At 66.4% G+C, this 18683-nt stretch overlaps 3 protein-coding genes across 16 annotated transcripts, besides 9 other annotated features; 2 read left to right on the top strand and 1 right to left on the bottom strand.

Moving 5' to 3' along the window:
- Nucleotides 169–718: an enhancer, noted in NCBI's record as "H3K4me1 hESC enhancer chr16:851523-852072 (GRCh37/hg19 assembly coordinates)". NCBI's record gives its function as "activates a minimal SCP1, AML or CMV promoter by ChIP-STARR-seq in naive H9 embryonic stem cells {active_cell/tissue: H9 hESC(naive)}" and the evidence as "EXISTENCE:reporter gene assay evidence [ECO:0000049][PMID:30033119]".
- Nucleotides 719–1268: an enhancer, noted in NCBI's record as "H3K4me1 hESC enhancer chr16:850973-851522 (GRCh37/hg19 assembly coordinates)". NCBI's record gives its function as "activates a minimal SCP1, AML or CMV promoter by ChIP-STARR-seq in naive and primed H9 embryonic stem cells {active_cell/tissue: H9 hESC(naive and primed)}" and the evidence as "EXISTENCE:reporter gene assay evidence [ECO:0000049][PMID:30033119]".
- Nucleotides 1269–1818: an enhancer, noted in NCBI's record as "H3K27ac-H3K4me1 hESC enhancer chr16:850423-850972 (GRCh37/hg19 assembly coordinates)". NCBI's record gives its function as "activates a minimal SCP1, AML or CMV promoter by ChIP-STARR-seq in naive H9 embryonic stem cells {active_cell/tissue: H9 hESC(naive)}" and the evidence as "EXISTENCE:reporter gene assay evidence [ECO:0000049][PMID:30033119]".
- Nucleotides 1507–4200, top strand: GNG13 (G protein subunit gamma 13). Its single transcript, NM_016541.3, has 3 exons — nucleotides 1507–1575; nucleotides 3130–3261; nucleotides 3417–4200. Exons 2-3 carry the CDS (start codon nucleotides 3164–3166, stop codon nucleotides 3520–3522), a joined length of 204 nt encoding a protein of 67 aa, NP_057625.1. The 5' UTR covers nucleotides 1507–1575; nucleotides 3130–3163; the 3' UTR covers nucleotides 3523–4200.
- Nucleotides 4167–13621, bottom strand: CHTF18 (chromosome transmission fidelity factor 18). Of its 4 annotated transcripts, none has more exons than XM_011522572.2 (22): nucleotides 13466–13621; nucleotides 13116–13313; nucleotides 12881–13031; nucleotides 12526–12694; nucleotides 11972–12064; nucleotides 11842–11894; nucleotides 11575–11716; nucleotides 10871–11080; nucleotides 10293–10390; nucleotides 9894–10017; nucleotides 9651–9802; nucleotides 9430–9523; nucleotides 9177–9275; nucleotides 8967–9097; nucleotides 8040–8187; nucleotides 6885–7109; nucleotides 6407–6556; nucleotides 6164–6294; nucleotides 5380–5524; nucleotides 5149–5280; nucleotides 4490–4547; nucleotides 4167–4402 (listed from the first exon to the last, which is right to left on the bottom strand). In XM_011522572.2, exons 1-22 carry the CDS (start codon nucleotides 13554–13556, stop codon nucleotides 4266–4268), a joined length of 2931 nt encoding a protein of 976 aa, XP_011520874.1. In that variant the 5' UTR covers nucleotides 13557–13621; the 3' UTR covers nucleotides 4167–4265. The 4 variants fall into 4 exon arrangements, with proteins under 4 accessions (XP_011520874.1, NP_071375.1, XP_016879021.1 ...); NM_022092.3 differs by having other exon boundaries at nucleotides 13116–13310; XM_017023532.2 differs by having other exon boundaries at nucleotides 12881–13024; nucleotides 13116–13310; nucleotides 13485–13621.
- Nucleotides 5526–5695: an enhancer, noted in NCBI's record as "experimental_46330 CRE fragment used in MPRA reporter constructs". NCBI's record gives its function as "activates a minimal promoter by MPRAs in K562 erythroleukemia cells, with activity observed for the non-introgressed 16:846631 variant allele {active_cell/tissue: K562}" and the evidence as "EXISTENCE:reporter gene assay evidence [ECO:0000049][PMID:34662402]".
- Nucleotides 7100–7829: an enhancer, noted in NCBI's record as "H3K4me1 hESC enhancer chr16:844412-845141 (GRCh37/hg19 assembly coordinates)". NCBI's record gives its function as "activates a minimal SCP1, AML or CMV promoter by ChIP-STARR-seq in naive H9 embryonic stem cells {active_cell/tissue: H9 hESC(naive)}" and the evidence as "EXISTENCE:reporter gene assay evidence [ECO:0000049][PMID:30033119]".
- Nucleotides 13328–13387: a silencer, noted in NCBI's record as "silent region_6959". NCBI's record gives its function as "represses an Ori minimal core promoter by ATAC-STARR-seq in GM12878 lymphoblastoid cells {active_cell/tissue: GM12878}" and the evidence as "EXISTENCE:reporter gene assay evidence [ECO:0000049][PMID:35858748]".
- Nucleotides 13568–14027: a silencer, noted in NCBI's record as "silent region_6958". NCBI's record gives its function as "represses an Ori minimal core promoter by ATAC-STARR-seq in GM12878 lymphoblastoid cells {active_cell/tissue: GM12878}" and the evidence as "EXISTENCE:reporter gene assay evidence [ECO:0000049][PMID:35858748]".
- On the top strand, nucleotides 13860–17267 carry RPUSD1 (RNA pseudouridine synthase domain containing 1). Of its 11 annotated transcripts, none has more exons than NM_001324413.2 (6): nucleotides 13860–13985; nucleotides 14596–14685; nucleotides 14764–14887; nucleotides 15062–15164; nucleotides 15313–15414; nucleotides 15864–17267. In NM_001324413.2, exons 4-6 carry the CDS (start codon nucleotides 15143–15145, stop codon nucleotides 16289–16291), a joined length of 552 nt encoding a protein of 183 aa, NP_001311342.1. In that variant the 5' UTR covers nucleotides 13860–13985; nucleotides 14596–14685; nucleotides 14764–14887; nucleotides 15062–15142; the 3' UTR covers nucleotides 16292–17267. The 11 variants fall into 11 exon arrangements, with proteins under 11 accessions (NP_001311342.1, NP_001311339.1, NP_001356587.1 ...); NM_001324410.2 differs by having other exon boundaries at nucleotides 15062–15173; NM_001369658.1 differs by having other exon boundaries at nucleotides 14497–14637.
- Nucleotides 14048–14137: a silencer, noted in NCBI's record as "silent region_6957". NCBI's record gives its function as "represses an Ori minimal core promoter by ATAC-STARR-seq in GM12878 lymphoblastoid cells {active_cell/tissue: GM12878}" and the evidence as "EXISTENCE:reporter gene assay evidence [ECO:0000049][PMID:35858748]".
- Nucleotides 14587–15394: an enhancer, noted in NCBI's record as "H3K27ac-H3K4me1 hESC enhancer chr16:836847-837654 (GRCh37/hg19 assembly coordinates)". NCBI's record gives its function as "activates a minimal SCP1, AML or CMV promoter by ChIP-STARR-seq in primed H9 embryonic stem cells {active_cell/tissue: H9 hESC(primed)}" and the evidence as "EXISTENCE:reporter gene assay evidence [ECO:0000049][PMID:30033119]".

Here is an 18683-nt window from a genome sequence, read left to right as displayed (position 1 = left end):
GCACACACCCCTCCCCTAACAGCCATTCCACTCTCTGGCGCCCAAAGTGGTGCCCCCAGCCACAGGGAGAGCCCTCAGCAGCCCAGAAACTAAGGTGCATCCGAAGTCACAGCACCAGGGGGCACAGGCAGGGCAGGGCGGGCACTGGGATCAGGGAGACGTCTAGCCCCCACCATGCCAAGAGGGGCAACCATCTGCCCTGAGGAGGAGGCCTCGTGCCCTGGGCTTTAAGCTGCCCCACCCCACCCCCAAATCCATAATAAAAATAATCCCTTCCCTAATGTGCCCCAGTTCCAGAGGCGCCTCTGATCCAGCCGACACACATCAGGGCGGGAGGTGCAGGTGGCCCCGATTCACGGAGTCACACTGGCAGGGAGTCCTGCTGAGTGACTTCAGGGACCTGAGCGCCTGAGAGGGACAGGGCCCACCTCTCCCCGACAACCCCTGCAGAGGTCTGGGCCACCCCAGGCAGGCCGGGCGGTTCCCTGTGACACTGGGGAAGGCAGAGTGACCTGCTCACAGGCCCCTGGCCCTGCCAGCACCCACCGAGGGCCTGGCCCACGCTTCCCCGGGGGTGGCCCAGCTTCTGCAGGGACTGTTTGGGGAGCTTGGCCCTGTGCCCCCAGAGGCTGCTGTTGCTGCCTGGGCGCCCCCACCTAGGATGCAGCCTGGTATGTACGTCACCTGCTGGTACATAGGGCACAGCTCCCACAGGAGCCCAAGGGGTACACCCAAGGGCAGGGTGGGAGGAGACACGGGGAAACGTGTCAGAGGAAAAGGGGCCAGTCTCAGCTCTGCAGGCTGACAGGTGCGGAGCCCCAAAGGGAAGCCCTCTCCCCAGAGCCTTGAGGTCACACAACCCGAGCCCAAGTGCTGCAGCTGGGGGCACCTCTCCCGAGGCAGCGTGCCCCAGAGCACCCACAGTGGACCGGTGTTGGGGACGCCTCAGGCCGCCACTCTCAGCTCAGATCAGACTGAAAAGCACGGCACTCTCCTGCCCTCGGGAGCTGCCCCGTGCCGGCCACTGGTCTGGGAACAGGGGATCGGGCTGGAGCAGGGAGCTCCACAGAGCCCCGGGGCCCCTAGCAGTAAGAGGCTCACATCCCAGGGTGAGCCACATGGCCCACACAGGATGCCTCTGTCAGGGGGGCACAGCTGAGTGTCACCTGAACCCTGCAGGCTGCAGAGGCTTCAGAGGGCAAAGGGTCCCAGCCCCATCCCCACTCCTCCCGGCTGGCCCAGGACACTGGAGGGGGAACCCACCCCCTCAAGTGGAAGGAGACCTCTCCACCAGGGCCCAAGCTGGCCCCTCAGGGAAAATGGACCAGCCCCACACTGGCCCCTGGCTGCATGTCCATCCGCTGGGTGAGCCCAGGGGAGGGGGCAGCACAGGCTATCTCTGGGGTCAGCCCAGCCCTGAGGAGGGTGTGGGGGCGGCGCCAGGGCCCAGGTGGCGGGAGGGGCGGGGCACAGCCAGGGCTCTGCCTGGCGGACTCCCGGAACATCACTTGGCCCTCGCTCTCACTCGCGGTCGCCTGGCCGTTGTCATTGTCCCTCCGCTGTCACCTTTTCAAGGTAGGTCCGATGAACAGGCGCCCGGGGCTAGGGAGGGCCCGGAGGCCCCTCGACTCTCAGCTGGCCCAGGTCAGTCCCCTGGGCTCACCCTAACTCCCGGGGCGAGGGCAGCTGCCCCGCAGGCAGCAAAACCCAACCCGAGCCGGTGCTGCAGGCAGGGAGGCGGCTCTCGCGGTGCGGGGGAGCTGTGTCCATCTGAGCGCCGTGCGCCGCCTGCAGTGCCCACCGAGTCCCGTGGCTGGGGGCGTCCACGGGGTGCACGGGGTGGGTGGCCAGGCTTGGCGGCAGCTGCGCGAAGGTAGGGCTGGGCAGCAAGGACTGGGCTGTGGGCGGGGCGCCAACACCCCGGGCCTGGGAGGACCCGCACGCAGCTAGTCCTGCGCCCACGGGGCTGAGTGTAGGGTCTCCGAGAAAAGGCCTGCACCGGGGATGGGGGCGGGTAGGGGTGCTGGAACTCCAGAGTCTCCGGGAGGGAATCCTCTGCATGACCCTGATCACTCCCCCAGAAACCTGCCCCCGCTCGCTCCCCGGCCTCCCACCCCACTACGGGCAGACCCTCTGCTGGCTGCTGGGAGTCTGCCCAATTCACCACCGGGACCCCACCAGCCTCAGGCCCTGGGCCCCTCCCTAGGTGGCCGGTGCAGCTGCACGACCAAAGGATGGGGAGACTGTTGGGCCAGGAGCCCCCTTCACAGCCAGAGGCAGGCTCCCCGAAACTTGACGCCAACCCCCACCCACCCTCCCAAGGTTCAGCCCTGTCTCCCAACCTTGGGGACGGGGGCCAGAGTTGGGACGGAGTGAGGGACTCCCTGGGCCCCTGGAGTGGGTAGGGGGAGAGGCAGGGGGCAACCCACCCCCACTTGCCTCGAACTTGTGGCAGTTCTGAGGGGTGTCAACCTGTGGCTTTCCCAGGCTGGCCACAAGCAGAAAGCACGCAGGTAACGTGTGTGGTTCCCAGACACACTGGGGACCCAGGGGCCACCCACAGCCCATATCCCAGACTCGGGTAGTATAGCCTGAGCCCCCAAGATCCTGAGCACACACCCCACCTGCCAGAGAAGCAAACTGCAGCAGAACATTCCTGTCCAGGAGTCCTGGCTCTGGACTGGGCTCTGCCATGCAAAGCAAAGGGGCACACAGCGGGGCGGGGCAGGGGCCACCTCCTGAGGACCTCGCCCCACACCTCACACCGTGGTCTGGGTCAGCCTGCGTGGGCCTCAGTGGGAGGGTAGGAGCTGGGGGCCTGCCGTGCTGAGCACCCTTTCTCCTGCCTGCAAGGGATCTTCGTAAGGTGTGGGGGCCTATGGGGGAGTAGCTGAGGATGTAAAGTTTCTTGCAGTTAATTAGTCCCAGTGCAGGAGGCGGGAGCTGGGGCCTTGTGGGAACTCGCTCTGTGCCCTGCACCCTAGCAACGCCTAGGGGACTGGCCCAGGCAGTGGTGTGGACTCTCCCCGCTTCATCCTGCGGGGTTCAGCTCAGGCCTGCGGGGAGCAGCGGGGGTGGGGACTACAGGCTGGTGGCCTCGGCCCTGTGGCTTCCTCCTGTGCCCTCCAGCCCCAGGCTGGCTGCTTCAGAAGCCCCTGACCCCATGGAGGAGTGGGACGTGCCACAGATGAAGAAAGAGGTGGAGAGCCTCAAGTACCAGCTGGCCTTCCAGCGGGAGATGGCGTCCAAGACCATCCCCGAGTGAGTGCCCCACCTGCCTGATTTGCCTCTCATTTGTCTGCCCTGCGCTGGCTGCTCATTTCCATAGCCACGACCACCGCCGCCGACAGGCAGGTGCAGCAGGAGGCCCTCGGGGGTCAGGTGCCACCACTCACCTGCCACCCGCCCACCCGCAGGCTGCTGAAGTGGATCGAGGACGGGATCCCCAAGGACCCCTTCCTGAACCCCGACCTGATGAAGAACAACCCATGGGTGGAAAAGGGCAAATGCACCATCCTGTGAGCCCCGCACCCGGCCCCTCTCACACCATCCTGTGAGACCACGCCCGGCCCCACTCCCACCATCTTGTAAGACTGTGCCCAGCCCCACTCACTCCATCCTGTGAGTCCCACTCCCAGCCCCACTCCCACCATCCTGTGAGCCCATGCCCGGCCCCACTCACACCAACCTGTGAGCCCCACTCCCGGCCCCACTCACTCCATCTTGTAAGACTATGCCCAGCCCCATTCACTCCATCCTGTGAGTCCCACTCCCAGCCCCACTCCCACCATCCTGTGAGCCCCACTTCCAGCCCCACTCCCACCATCCTGTGAGCCCCACTCCCAGCCCCACTCCCACCATCCTGTGAGCCCCACTCCCGGCCCCACTCACTCCATCCTGTGAGCCCCACTCCCAGCCCCACTCACACCAACCTGTGAGCCCCACTCCCGGCCCCACTCACAACATCTTGTAAGACTGTGCCCGGCCCCATTCACTCCATCCTGTGAGACCACGCCCGGCCCCACTCACTCTATCCTGTGAGACCACGCCTGGCCCCACTCCCACCATCCTGTGAGCCCCACTCCTGGCCCCACTCACACCATCCTATGAGCCCACGCCCGGCCCCACTCCCACCATCCTGTGAACCCCACTCCACTCGCACGTGATTACAGTCTGTAAAGGTGTGACTTTATAAAGACATCTCCAGCTTCCTGTCTCTGCACTCTGCGGGAAGCAATGCGAGGGCATGTCCGCGGCTCAGAGAACTAGAGCAAGTCCCTGATGTACAGGCTGCGCCGCACGGCGTTGGAGACACCCTCGTTGAAGCGGAACCAGACCTCGCTCCTGCCCACCGCTGTGCCCATGCGCCGCTCCACTGAGTCCTGCTCCGGGGCCGTGTCCCCTGCGGGGCCACAGGGTTGCTCCTCAGCTGTAAGGCCCCCCCACAACCCCCAGGCCCCCCACAACCCCACAACACCCCCACACACACCTGCACTCGGGACTGCTGTGCTCCTGACGACCACACGTCCAAAGAAGTCCTTCTCAGGCTGATGGGAGGAAGGACTAGTCAGTCGTATAGGACAGATGCCCCATCCAGCCCCTACCCAAGACAGGAGGACCGAGAGCCTTCCCAGGGAGGAGGGACCAGAACACCTCTGAGACACCTTTCGGAACCTGGCCCAGGCCAGCTGCCCCTCACCCCTCACTGCCATCTGCTCCCCACCAGGTGCCAATCAAGAAGAGCCAATACAGCCACTCTTCTGCCCAGATGGGAAACTGAGGCCTGGGTAGAACCCTGGTCATGCTGAGGGTAAGGAGCTGGTCCTTCAGAGCCCCCCTTAGGGCACTGAGCCAGCCCCACCCTCAGCCAGACTCCTCCTGTGGCTCAGCCCCACCCCCAAAGGTACCCTGGCCCCACCCCATGGGTGCCTTGGCCCCACCCCTAAAGATACCCTGGCCCCGCCTCATGACTGCCCTAGCCACAGCCCTGAAGGTACCCTGGCCCTGCCTCATGAGGGGCCCTAGCCACACCCACAAAGGTACCCTGGCCCCACCCCATGGGTGCCTTGGCCCCGCCTCATGACTGCCCTAGCCACACCCCCAAAGGTATGTACCCTGGTCCCACCCCCACAGCTGCCCATTCCACACCTGTTCCTCCCGGGCCGCTCGCCTCATGATGTGCTCCAGCCGCTGCTCATGGTTGCGTGGGGCAGGTCGGTGCACCCCTTTCTCCCCAATGCCCCCCAGCAGACCCTCGAGCCCTGGGGGGCTCCCATCCACCTGTAGGGAGCAGGCATTGTGAGATCTGGCCACACAGGGATACAGTGGGGATGGTGCACGCCCAGACTGCAACCTGCTCCAGAGCCTGGGTGGGCTCACCTGGGGGCTGTTCTCTACCCGGGCAGAAGCCTCCGCCCGCCGCATCTTCTCCACCTCGATCTCGCGGGCGATGAGCTGCTTCGTCTGGTAGGTGAGGGGCTTGCGGGCAGGCAGCTCAGGGAAGCGGCAGAGTTCCTCCACGTTCCTGCTCAGCACAGGGGGACACCAGGGCAGGTCAGCGGGGCCAGGCTCAGGGCCAGAGAGCCGCCGGGCACTCCAACCGCAAACCCCAAAAGCCACAAGGCCAGAGCAGGAATGTGGGGCTGAGTCCTGGTGCCACCGCACCCCAACCCTGCGGCAGCCAGGTTTAACTGCCCCGAGCCTCAGTTTCCCCAACTGCAAGTGTACGTGGGATGATGATGAAACCTGCCGATGGCTGCCACGGAGAGTGACTCAGCGTCCTGCAAGTTGGTGCCGTCGCTGGGGCAGCAGGACCCCGGGGCCACTGCCCCATGCCTCACCCCCACCACCCCCATGGCCATCCCACAGCGGGAAACGGAGTGTTGGAAAGTGCAGTCACTCTCGGGGCCCCCGGCTCCAGTTCCATGTGGGGGTGCTAAGGCTGGGAGCAGCTCTGCAGCAAAACTCAGGTCCCAGAGCCAATCTCAAGTAGCTGGAAGTGACCCCCCTTCACGGTTACATCTGAGCAAAAGATAAGCTGGGGCCCGCCACCCCCAGACGCCATGACCGTGCTTTCAGACTCCTGGCCCCATGCGGGCCCTGAACATGGAGCACAGCCGGGGAGCATGACCCTGGAGCACACCCCAGGCACTGGGGGACTCACGGCTCCAGCCTGTAGATGTACTGGCCATCGGGCGTGCGCTCCTGGCGGTAGGTCAGGCTGTAAGCGAGCATCGTGCCCACCAGGCTGGCCAGCTGTTGCTTTTCACGGGTGCTGTACAGCTGTGTGCTCACCTAGGGGATGGGAGGCAGCAGACAGGGAGCTGAGCAGGCTGTACAAATGTGTGCTCACCTAGGACAGGAGGGCAGCAGGCGGGGAATCCCCCACCCCGGGGACGGCACTCACGGGGCGGAGCTTGGGTGCAAGAATGTCCAGGAGCAGGCAGAGGGCATCGAGGAGCAGGGCCTGGGGCGTGGCCCGGCTGCGCGTGGCTGGCGCGATGCCGGACACCAGCGTCTGGATCAGGTTCCTCATCTGGCTCATCCGGTTCTGGGCCTGGGGCAGGGGGTGAGCCAAGGCCTGGTCACCTGGGCCTCCCGGGCGAGGGGGGAATGGTGGGTGGGGCCAGGGCAGCCACACGGGCAGCACAGGGGGGCGGGCACGGGGCCGGGGGCAGCCACACGGGCAGTGTGTTTGGGGGGGCGGGCACGGGGCCGGGGGCAGCCACACGGGCAGTGTGTTTGGGGGGGCGGGCACGGGGCCGGGGGCAGCCACACGGGCAGTGTGTTTGGGGGGGCGGGCACGGGGCCGGGGGCAGCCACACGGGCAGCACAGGGGGGCGGGCACGGGGCCGGGGGCAGGCGTGGTGCAGGGACGAGCACACCTCCTGCTGGCTGCTGGGGAAGGTGATCCTGGGTGTGTGGCTGGAAGCAAACAGCACATGGAAGGCCACGGGCAGGAAGGGTGGGTAGCGCAGCAGCTGGAAGCTCTGGCTGTGATGAGCAGCCCCCGCCAGCAGGTCATCGAAGGCCAGCCAGTCGAGGGCCACACACACAGCACCCAGGCTGGAGTCTCGCAGCCGCAGACGCAGGAAGTTGTCAAACAAGCCCTGCAGGCGGCCGGCAACCCCTGAGCTCCTGCCCACCCCAGGGAAGGTGCACCACCACGGACCCTCCACCTCCCGCCACAGACCCTCCACTCCTGCCTGCCGCCTGCCCCACGAGGCTTCGCAGACCCTCCACAAGGGTCCCCACGACGCTGGGCGTCTGAGGCAGCAGCACACACCAGCAAGGGGTCACTGGGCCCAAGGGGTCGGGGGAGGGTCCACCCTGAGCATCCTCGCTACAGCTTGACAGAGACTGACTTGACAGAGACTGACACGAGGGGGTGACCCACCAGGAGGCCTCCAGGAACCAAAGGGATCCAGCCTCACTCAGCCCCTCCTTAGACTGCCTGAGGAAGTTCCGCCCACCAGAGTCCAGGCCGTGGCGTCCCCACCCCTGTTCCGTGGGGGAGTCTATCCCCGCCGCTGCTCCACGCTGCCCCTCCACATCGCGGCTTTTGGGATTTGGGGATTGGTTGTGGATCCCCAGCTGCTAATCCAAAGCCGCTTAGAGTCAGCAGACAGCTTAGGCGGGGACTCCCGCGGGCAGGGCGGCAGGAAGCCCTCACCGCACTGCTCTCCACCCCATGTGCATCTTAAGTCCAGAATCCAGCCCCTCGCAGCCCCAGGCCAGGCTGTCCGGCAGGGGCTCCACCCCAACCCGCTGAGAGTCCCAAGCAGCCACCAGAGCGACCTCCCCCGTCAGACGGCCGCCCCTACCTCCTTGCCTGCCGGCCCGTGCCCTGCAGCCCCTCCCACCCTCCTGGCTCCTGCTCCCCACCTCAGAGACTTCCTGGCACCCCATTTCCCGAACCTGCCTCTCTCAGCACCCCCAAAGCGCCTCCCCGTCCATACGGGAGGACCGGCAGGGGCAGGGGCACAGCCCAGGTCCTAGCCAGGCGGCCCCAGGCAGGCATTTTGGTGGAAGACAGGTACCTGGACCACCTTCTCGTGCTCGCCCGCAGAGGCAGCGGCATGCAGGACACGGTAGAATCGCTGTGAGGCGGAGGTGAGGGAGCCCGCGTCCCCGTCACCCAGCAGGAGTGTGTCAGCAGGCAGGGCGGGGTCCTGGCCCACACGGCGCCTGCAGGTGGGGTGCTGAAGCTAGATGGACCCGTGTTAAAAGCACAGGCAGCCCCACCCGTCTCCCCGGGACACTCAGAGGCCCCATCAGAGCTGCCACCCACTTCATTCTTCTCAGCAGGGCCCTTGCTGCCTCGCTCAGGTGGAGACAGCCAAAGACACGCCCGGACCTCAACCCCCTGAAACATTCCCTTAAGCCGAGGAGCCCCACTCTGAGAGGAGCCCTGCCCTGACCCTCTGGGGTTAGGGGACCCCAGGGAAAGTCCCCCTCCGGGTCCAGGCCAGGAGCAGCACATCCCACAGGCCCAGGCCAGCGTCTCCCATATCCTGCAGCACGACCAGGCCAGCATCCCCTGGGGTCCCATGGCACGTCAGGACAGAGACATGCTGGCTGCTCCTGCCCACGGGAGGCCAAGCAGTGTGGGCAGGCAGGGGCTCAGAGACCACAGCCCAGGCCAAATGTGGCAAAAATGAGGGTGCAACTGGGACAGCAGCTGAGTCAAGGGGCGCCCTGGAGAGGGACGCCCTGGAGGCCCCACCACACTGGGGGTGTCCTTCCCACAGGGGGCCCTGGAGGCTTCTCTAGCTGACCCCCCAAGGCTGTAGGGGCGAGAACAAGCCAGGAAAAGGCTGAGGAGGGCCCTGGAGGCTGGACCAGGCAACCGCGGGCTCAGGACACTGAGTCCCCGCCTCGAAGGTAGTGCTGGCCTGCACACAGGGCTAGCGTCCTGAGGTCCGGGCACCGTGAGCATCTGGGCCGAGGCTGTGGCCACCGCCTACCTCTGGGCTCGAGGCAGCTGGAAGACCTCCTGCCACACCGAGAAGAGCCCTCTGCGCTGGTCCTTGAGGCCCACGCGTGTGGCCTGCACGTCCCGCACGCTCAGCTCCCGCTGGCCCCGGCTGTACAGGAACTAGACATAGGGCGGGGGCATGAGAAGCGGCCAACTCCTGACCCCACCCCACCCCACCCGGTGCCTGCCGGCCGCCCACCTGCAGGGTGTTGATGCAGGCCCGGATGTCATTGTCAGTTTTCTCACAGAGGGCGGCCAGCACCCCTGGGTCGGCCCTCATGCCCTGCCGCAGGGAGACCTGGTGGAGAAGGGCTGCTGGAGGGCCCGATGGTATGCCCCATCCTTTCAGGGGTTACCAGGGTTCCATGGGGAGGGGCAGGGAAACAGGGGCCAGAACGAGGCCACGCCCCCAACCCCGCCATCAGCCACACGGCTCCTGGGGCTCCACCGACCTCCTGGAGCCGCTGCACCAGCCTCGAGGGCAGAGTCGGCGGGAAGTGGAGCAGGAAGGCCTGCTGCTTCAGCTGCCGCAGGGACGGTGCGAACCTGAGGAGAGGCGGCAGGGCCAGGGACCCCAGGGTTGGCACCACAGCCCAGGACACAGGGACGGGCCGGAACCCTCCCTCCAGGCACCAGAGCCTCTCCTGACTGTGGCGCCCGCCCATGCACTCACTGGTCATTGCAAATGCAGATAATGGGCCTCATGAGGAGCCCCCCCTCTGCCCGGCGCCGTCGGCCGCCTCCCGAAGGCACAGCCGGGCCCTGTGGCCCCACCTCCTGTGGCCCCTTGCGGTTCAGGATGCTCAGGAGGACGTTGATGGCGGCCTTGGGGGAGGTCAGAGGACACGGTGAGTCCAGGCCCTGCTGCCCGCCTGCCTGCCCGCCCACCCACCTACCCAGGCATCAAGGAGCCCACCACGGGGGCCCCGTCGATCTCATCGATGACCAGGCAGTTGGGCTTCCCGCCAGCACCCAGCACCGACTCCATCTGGGTGGCCGCCTCGATGCGTGTGCGGAAGACCTCCGGGCTACGGTCGTCACTGCAATGGGGAGGTCAGGGGTCGTCAGGGCAGTGGGCGTCCCTGGCAGGGCAGCCTCCCAAGGCCGGGGCTGCCGCATTTGCGTGGAGACCGTCACATGACGCGGCTGCTGCCGATCCCGTGAACCCCGAGGAAGGACACGTTTTCCCGGCCCACACACCCAGGCCCCCACCACCCTCAAGACGGGAACATCCACACCCGGTTTCAGGTCCGCCACCAGAACTCAAACACGTCAGGACAGAAGGCGAGCCAGAGACGGACCTCACATCACTCACCTGGCGTTCATCTCCACCACAGAGTACCCCGCGTGACGCGCAATCACGTGTGCCAGGGTGGTCTTCCCCAGCCCCGGGGGCCCACAGAGCAGTGCCACCTGCAGCCCAGGTAGATGAAGGCGTAGTGTGCACCGCACCTACAGGACGCTCCCGGCCTAGCAGCCAGGGACTGCCACATGTGTCCCACAGGCTGGGCGCTCCCTCCACCCCACTCCAGCCATCAAATAAGAACAAAATTGAGCACTTTCACACACCAAGATGGCAACGGAAAAAAAAACCTACACAAAGCAAAGTTCGTGCAGACAAAACACAGCTGATACCAGTGTGACTGGCCCCCAGAAACCACCCACCGTCCACCCAGATCATCCTGGCCAGCCGCAGAGCCCTTCAGGGACAACGACTTCCCCCGAGTTGTTACTGCAACGCTCCAGTTCTAACTCACGCTAATGGCGCTTCACGCCAAGACCCACACGTCACCACACCCACGGCTCCTGGAGAAAGTCAACAGGCTGCAAGGGTGCCGGCGCCGAGTGCAAAGCCTCAGGCTTGTTCCCGGCGGCACAGCCAGCGGGGCTCACCTTCTGCTTCGGTCGCTGGCTCGGGTCCAGCCCAGCCTCCAGCATCTCCTCCAGCACCTGTTCGTGGCTCTTCCACTTGCCTGGGGCTGTGGCCTCCTTGCTGACCCGGGCCGGCTCAACACTGGGCCTGGGCTTCCGGGAAGGCCTCTCGTGGCCAAACACCACCAGGTCCCACAACTTCAGCCACTTGAGCAGGCAGCGGTTGGTGAACTGCGGGAAGGACGGGAAGGGAAGCACAGCCTGAGGGCACCGCCTCCAGGCACGGACAGTCCACCTGCCACCATGAGCCCCATGCCCCATGGGATGCCAAGCCACAGGATGAATGGCCACCCCCGTCTTCCTGCCAGCGAGTGACCGCAAGGCTCACACCAGGGGCTCCACCCCCACGGCTCTGGCCACAACCCATCTGGGAGGCCCCTGCCCTCCCCAGGGGCACTCCAGTGTCAGCTGCTGTGAAGGTAGGAAAGGGAACAGAGACTTGGATCAGGTGACACCCTGGACCCCTAGCCTGCCTCACAGGTCACAGGGGACCAGTAGCACACAGCCCTGTGCTCAGTTCACCACCTACAACTCAAAAGGGCAAACCAGAGCCCACTCCGTCTCCGAGGCCCAGTGGATTGGCTGTGCAAAAATCACTGGGCCCAGGTTCTTCCATCTTGGGAACAGAGGAAGCCAGCCACACTTGAGTGAGAACAAGACCTCACGTCATCACTGAGCAGCTCCGTGTAGTGGCGGGGTGCAAACTCATCCACCCAGAGGCAGTGACTGGAGGCGTCTTGACCGTCAGTCGGCTCCTCCTCAGGGGCCCCCAAGGGCTGGGCTGCCTCCTCCTCCCCCGACCTGAGACTGGAGAGGACCACGTCCTGAGCCACAAACAACTCGCAGGGACCATGCCAACCCACACGCTAGGAGCTAGGAGTTGGTGCAAGAGCCAACAAGGGTCCCCAGGGCGGAAGGGCCAACCAAGTCACCTGTGCAGGGTGTCTGAAAGCTTCTGGGCCTCCTGAAGCAGCCGCTCCCGCCGCTGTGCAAACAACAGGCTGGAATCAGGAGGGCTCAGGCGGCCCCGCCACCGCCCCCCAGCAAACCCGCAGCCCCTACCTCGCCGTCGACCTGCTTCTTCAGGGAGGCTAAGGACACACCCAGCAGGTCCAGCTGGCCACCGCCTCGCCATGGGACGTGGAGGAGAGAGCCCTGTGGGGAAGGGAGGACAATTGCCTCTGGGCCCCTCCTAGGTCACAGGATTCACGTCAGCCCCCATCAGTGCTCAGGGACCCGGGTGGGACAACCCCAGTAAGCTGGCCAGTGAGGGGTGGGAGACTGGACAGGGGTGCCAAAGGAATGAAGCCATCCAGATGGGTCAGCTGCAAAGGGAAATTGGGGGCAGCTTTAGGAGAAAGGAGGAAAGGGCAAAAGCAGGAGGGGAAGCAAGGAGGCCCTCTCCACCCGAGGCCATACAAACAGGCTGGACAGCAACCTGCTGTGGGGAGGCTGTGTCCTCTAAGTCTACGCCCCATGACGCAGCCTCCCCCTCTGCACCCCTGGGGCTCTGCACAGGACCCGCTTTAAGCAAATGGCAGGGGTGAGGGGCTCCAAGGACCCTTTCCTGAGCAGCACTGGCCCACCCACCGTGCAGGAAGGCCACAGCCACGCACCTGCACCCCCGGGGCCATGGGGTCAGCACGCAGCACCAGATAAGCCCGGACGCCCTCCGTGGATGTCACGTGGACGTAGTCCTCCAAGATGGGGGGCCGCCTCAGGACGGGATTGCGGGCAGCTGGTGAGGCCCGTGTGAGACCCACGTCGGCAGCAGCTTCTGAGACTCTGGAGAGAGACCGGGGCTCAGTGGCAGAAACTCAAGCGTGGGGTCACCCTTGGATATGGGTGTCCGAGACTGCTCTCAGCCATGGAACCCTCCCCACCCCCCAGGCCTCATCCAGGGCACGGGATGGGCTCCATCTGAGTCCCACTGGACAGATGGGATGGGACGCCCATGTCCAAGCCACACACCCGTGGCCCCAAAGCTCTGCGAGGTCCTCAGGGCTCGGCGGCGGGGTGATGTCCGTCGGCGAGGAGTCGGGAGGGGGCGGCTCCTCCATCTCCTCCGATCTGAAGTTCAGCCTCTTGACCACCTGCAGCCTAGGCCGTTTGATCCTGGGGGCTGGGGGAGACACATGCAGGGAACCAGAGGCCTCCTCAGCCTCGCGCCCACTCCGGAGGCCCTGGGGCAATGCCGCCAACCTACCGTGGGGCAGGGACCCGGCCGGCTGCAGGTCGGCGTCCACCTGCCTCTTCCTGGCGCCGCCCTGGCTGCTGCCCACAGATGCGGCTGGGGCGGGACTGGAGGCCGCGTCCCCTCTGGCAAGGGCCTCCTCGAACGTCCGCGGGGGTCGGCCCGCGGTGAACAGGGGGACCCCGGAGGGCGACGGAGTCGACGCCCCTGCTGGGAGAGGAGATTGTCAGCGGCCGCCCCGAGACAGCAGATCCCGCCAGCGGCGACGTGGAGGCCCCTTCGGCCCCCGGCACGCCCTCCCCGAGGTCGCCACTGTCCCGGCTTTCGCAGCTCCTCCCCAACGGCCGGGGGCCGCGCCCCACCTTCCAGCTCTGCCAGCACCTCCAGCTCGGCCGCGAACTGGTTGTGGAAATCATCCTCGACGCCGCACAGCTCCTGCTCGTAGTCCTCCATACCGTCCGCGAGCCCGAGCTCCCGCTCCGAACCTCCCGCGCCGCCGCCGCCGTCGCGCACTGCCCGCCCCGAGCGTGCCGGGCGCCGCCAATCAGCAGCCGGCGTGCCCGGCGGCGCGCGCCATTGGTTGGCGTGGCGGAGGCGGGGCTGCGCGAGGGGTGGGCGGGGCGAGTTCCTGCTCCGCAGCCCCCGCGTCCTGTCCTGGGGAGCTCGCCATTGGCCGCCGCAGCCGCCCTTCCGCGGCGGGGGCGGGCCGGGGGCGGGCCGGGGGGGGGGGCGGGGCTGCGCGCGCAGCGGTGCAGGGCGGAAGCGCTGCCAGGCGTCCGGAGCGGAGCTTCCAGGGTCTCTGGGTCGCCAGCGCGCGGGCGCGCGGCTGGAGCCGGCGCCGGGCACGGCATCGGGGGCCTGGACTGCACGGCCCGGCAGCAGGTTGGTCTTGGCGTGGGCGTGGGCGCGGGAGGGGCTCGGAGCCAGGGTCGGCCTGCCCACCGGGCCTGTGCGGGGCGCGGGTCTGCGCGGACTGCGGGGAGCGAGGAGGCCCCAGCCCTAACCCGCGCTGCGGGCAGACCTGGCTGCCGGGCCTGGTAGTGCTGCAGCCCCTCCCCGCCCCCACCGTCGGGCAGAGGCATTCACGTGCATCCCCTGGAGGGGAGGGTCTGTGGGGAGGATCTGTGGGGCAGGTTTGGAACGGGCTCTTTCTCCAGGCTTAGGTCAGGCAGGGCCCTTCAGGTCAGCCCGGAGCAGGCTGACTCCTTGACTCCCCAGCTGACGCCCTGGGGACTGATCTCGGGGACTGAGGATGCAGGTGCACAGTAGGGCTGCGGACCCGGCTCGGTGGCTTCGCACCGGAGCCCGGGTGGGGCGGTGCGGGTACCTCTGTATGCTGGGCTGGGGGCGCACCACGTGCTCACAGCACACGCACCCACGCGTGGCTCGGCAGGCCGGCCATGGAGCCAGGCAGCGTGGAGAACCTGTCCATCGTGTACCGGAGCCGCGACTTCCTGGTGGTCAACAAGCACTGGGACGTTCGCATTGACAGCAAGGCGTGGCGGGAGACTCTGACCCTGCAGAAGCAGCTGCGGTACCGCTTTCCCGAGCTGGCCGACCCTGACACCTGCTACGGGTTCAGGTAGGGGGGGCGGCCGGAGCCCCACGGTGGCGTCTGTGGAGGAAAGTGGCTCAGACTCTGGACTCTGTCCCACTCCAGGTTCTGCCACCAGCTGGATTTCTCCACCAGCGGGGCGCTGTGCGTGGCCCTAAACAAGGCAGCCGCCGGCAGCGCGTACAGGTGCTTCAAGGAGCGGCGCGTGACCAAGGCTTACCTGGCATTGGTAAGACCTGGTCAGTCCTGGGGTGGGGCGTGGGGACTCAGGATTCCCACCCCACTTGGGCAGCCCTGGCTCAGAGCCTCCCACCACGCTCTACGTGGTTGCTTGGTGTTAGGTGGGCTCCCCGGCAGCACTGGGCTGCCCCGTGAACTGCGTGCGATTCTCCCTCTCCTGCAGCTGCGGGGGCACATCCAGGAGAGCCGGGTAACCATCAGCCATGCCATTGGCAGGAACAGCACGGAGGGCCGGGCCCACACCATGTGCATCGAGGGCTCGCAGGGTGTGGCAGGCAGGGACCCACCGGGCGGGCATCGTGGGTTGGGGTGGGCCTGGGCAGGCAGGGACCCACCGGGCGGGCATCGTGCGTTGGGGTGGGCCTGGGCCCCGGGTCAGTCCCACTAACCTCACACCTGCCTTCTGCGCCCCAGGTTGTGAGAACCCAAAGCCAAGCCTCACAGATCTCGTGGTTCTGGAACACGGGCTGTACGCAGGCGATCCTGTCTCCAAAGTGCTGCTGAAGCCGCTCACGGGTGTGTCTGGGGTGGGCGGTGTCCTGGTGGTGACAGAAGGGAAACTGAGGCACAGGGCCACGAAGCTTATGTTGGGCCACCCTGAGCATCAGGGCAGAGCTGGCAACAAGCACTCCTGCGTTCTTAACTCCACGCCCTGCAGCCTCTCAGCTTCTCACCTGACACAGGGTCCCTGCTGGCTCCTGACTGATTCCTTGGGGGTCTGGCTGGCCTAGATTCTCCAGGACCGAGCACCACCCTGGCCCTGTCCTCACCAGTGGTGACCTGAACACAATCTTCTGTCCTAAATACTGTCATCCTCACTCATGGCAGGGGACAGGGAGAGTTCCACCCCAAGAGGCTGCTTCAAGACTGCAGCGGGGTCATGACGGGAGGTGGGTCCTGGTCAGGGAGATAGGTGTGGATCGGCCCCGCTCCCAGCTTGATCCGGCACCGCCCTCATCCCGCAGGCCGGACACACCAGCTGCGCGTGCACTGCAGTGCCCTGGGCCACCCCGTGGTGGGCGACCTGACCTACGGAGAAGTCTCGGGCCGGGAGGACCGGCCGTTCAGAATGATGCTGCACGCTTTCTACCTGCGCATCCCCACGGACACCGAGTGTGTGGAGGTCTGCACGCCTGACCCCTTCCTGCCCTCCCTGGATGCCTGCTGGAGCCCCCACACACTGCTGCAGTCGCTGGACCAGCTCGTGCAGGCCTTACGGGCCACCCCCGACCCTGACCCCGAGGATAGGGGCCCCAGGCCAGGCAGCCCCTCCGCACTCCTGCCTGGGCCCGGCCGGCCTCCTCCACCCCCAACCAAGCCCCCTGAGACTGAGGCACAGCGGGGCCCCTGCCTGCAGTGGCTGTCGGAGTGGACGCTGGAACCGGACAGCTGAGAGCCGTGGGGCTGGGGCAGGGGGTGTCAGCTGCACAGCGGGACTCTAGGGAGATGGGCGAGCGAGCGTCTGCTCACTGGCTCTGGGGCCTCGAGGTGCCAGGCAGCATCAGGCCCACTGGGTTGCCCCGGCCAGGCCTGCGAGGAAGGGCTGAGGTGGGGCCGGCAGGGGGCGCCAGGCAGCCGTGATCACAGGTGACGACCGCACCGCGGCCGTGGGACTGATGCGGGATCCCGAGGGCCTTCCTGCCCACATGCCCCGGGAGAAACCGAGGCCCCTCCCTCCTCCTGGAACAGCTTCCGGCTCTCAAGCGTCACCCCAGGGGCGTCAGTTTTACGGACTCAAGGTCACCTCAGGAAGAGGCAGGGCCAGGTTTTGGGATAGGCTTTGCCTCCAGGATGGGCTGCTCCTGGGCCTGGTGAGCTACTGCCCCCAACCTACCCTCTAGAGGGGCTGGGAAGGGCCGTTCTGGGCTCACCTGGCCTGGGAGACCCATCTGGTCCCTGCGTCCTCTGCCCCTCACTGCTCTGTGCAGATCCTGTCGCCCTCAGCTGCCTCCTCCCGAGACCTAATGGTCCCTGCTGGGCTCGAGTCTGCAGGCCCGGCTGCGTGTGCCTTGGCCTCACTGTACCAGTGGTTCCCTCTCTGCCCGGATTCTGAGCTCAGTGTGGTGTTTGGTGCACAGGGGTTGGTCAGGGGCCATGGCCAAGGCCCTGCCACGCACGCCCATCCCTCAGATCCACTGTGAGCACCAACCTGCTGCAGTCTCTTGGGCCCCTGCTGGCAGCTCTGCCACGTCACCGCCTGCCTGGCTCCCACACAGCCATGCATTGTCACTCTGCCTCCGGGACCCCAGCTTGGGAGCTGTGGGTCTGCCAGGTCCCACCTCCTCTGTCCCCCATGCCACAACCTGGGCTCCTGGCTACAGCAGGGCTCCAGGGACTCCAAATAAATGTTCAGTGACTGGCTCCAAGGATGACCGTGAACGTGTCCGAAGTGGGGCTTCCAAGGGACAGGTCTGGCCACCCAGACCTTTCCTAGCTCTCTTCCCTGCCCTGAGGCCCCAGCAGGACCCAGGACAGACGCAGTGGTCCAGGCTCCTATCGGCCTCTCCTGCAGACAGCAAGCACCGTGCAGCTTTGGCCTGGGCACAGACCCTGGGCCGGCCCCGGACAACCCCCAGCCCCCACAACCAGAGCCATGGGAATACCCAGCTGGTCCAGCCAGGGATCTTCGTAGAGCCCAAGTCTCAGAGCTCTGTGGAAGGGGCATCTCATGGGCCAGCACTTGGTCTCAGGTCCGCCTGGCCCCTGCCTGCCACTGTCCAGCTCCGGGGCCAGCCCTGAAACCCTGGTTACGACCCCAGCGGTGACAGCAGCAGGGCCTGGACCAGAGGCAGCTGCCACCGTGCCCTCAGCCGAGATGCGGGTTCCAGACCCGGAGTCCCCACCGGGGCCCAGACCGGAGGCAGCTGCCACCGTGTCCTCAGCCGAGACGCGGGTTCCAGACCCGGAGTCCCCACCGGGGCCCGACTGGAGGCAGCTGCCACCGTGCCCTCAGCCGAGACGTGGGTTCCAGCCCCAGAGTCCCTGAGGTGAGGCCACAGGCCCTGGACTCACTGCTGCTGCTCCCATGACTCAGTTTCCTCATCTGTAAAGGAAGGGGCTGGTGCAGATCCGAAGGGACCGCATAACCCTCAAGTAGCACCAGTCGGCCACCCCAACAGAGTGCGGCAGCAAAGCCCTCCCGGCCAGCACGCCCATCACTCTCGAGGCTCCTCCCTGGCCAGCCCCGGGACGTGTCCACCCTCGGGCACCTGGCCCCGGCCTCCCCTCCCCCAGGGCTGGCTTATCTCCAGGCCTCCTCCTGGTCCTTGTCTGAATCAGCCCAAGTCAGGGCCAGGCACGCCTCCCCTCTCTGGCTGGGACAGTCTCCCCACCCTGCCCCACGGGGCCCCACCCCTCTAGACTGGGGGCTGCCGACCTCACTGCCCCAACAGCAGCTGTTGGAGCCGCTGTGTCCAGCTGGGCTGGCCCAGCTGACAGCCGGCCAAGGGGCCTTCAAGGCCTGACCTGAGCCGGACCCTCATCAACAAGCCAGGCCTGAGCGCCGTCCCTCATGGTGCCCGTGCCTCGTTGTCAGCCTAGAGCTCTCAAAGGGGCACCTGGGTTCCTGTGGGCTTGTGCAGGCCTGGGGAGCAGTCACCTACCAGTTCCCCTGCCGTCAGCCTCCAGAAGACCCAGATCGGGGGTCAAGTCTCAGCTTGGCCATGGAGCTGGCTTGTTGGGCACCCATAGCATAGCTGTGGTGCAGGGGGTGGTGGTTCCACAGCTGAACCTGAGCTGCAGGTCCTGCCAAGCAGGGGCTGAGTCTCTCCCAAGATGAGAGCTGG

The sequence above is a fragment of the Homo sapiens genome, chromosome 16 (genome assembly GCF_000001405.40).
Source record: "Homo sapiens chromosome 16, GRCh38.p14 Primary Assembly".
In the NCBI taxonomy this organism is placed as follows: domain Eukaryota; kingdom Metazoa; phylum Chordata; class Mammalia; order Primates; family Hominidae; genus Homo; species Homo sapiens.
The sequence above is the reverse complement of the archived record's forward strand: the minus strand, read 5'-3'. Positions and strand labels throughout refer to the sequence as shown.

Bases quoted from the DNA above. Each gene is read 5' to 3' on its own strand.
- RPUSD1 (NM_001324086.2), top strand. From the start codon at position 14,504: ATGGAGCCAGGCAGCGTGGAGAACCTGTCCATCGTGTACCGGAGCCGC. The intron at 14,888-15,061 runs GTAAGACCTGGT...CCTCTCCTGCAG, and splicing joins CCAAGGCTTACCTGGCATTG to CTGCGGGGGCACATCCAGGA. The intron at 15,415-15,863 runs GTGTGTCTGGGG...CTCATCCCGCAG, and splicing joins GCTGCTGAAGCCGCTCACGG to GCCGGACACACCAGCTGCGC.
- CHTF18 (XM_005255471.4), bottom strand. From the start codon at position 13,556: ATGGAGGACTACGAGCAGGAGCTGTGCGGCGTCGAGGATGATTTCCAC. The intron at 12,065-12,525 runs GTGCGTGGCTGT...CCTTCCCCACAG, and splicing joins CCATGGCCCCGGGGGTGCAG to GGCTCTCTCCTCCACGTCCC. The intron at 10,391-10,870 runs GTGAGCCCCGCT...CCTGGGCTGCAG, and splicing joins GCCAGCGACCGAAGCAGAAG to GTGGCACTGCTCTGTGGGCC.
- GNG13 (NM_016541.3), top strand. From the start codon at position 3,164: ATGGAGGAGTGGGACGTGCCACAGATGAAGAAAGAGGTGGAGAGCCTC. The intron at 3,262-3,416 runs GTGAGTGCCCCA...GCCCACCCGCAG, and splicing joins GCGTCCAAGACCATCCCCGA to GCTGCTGAAGTGGATCGAGG.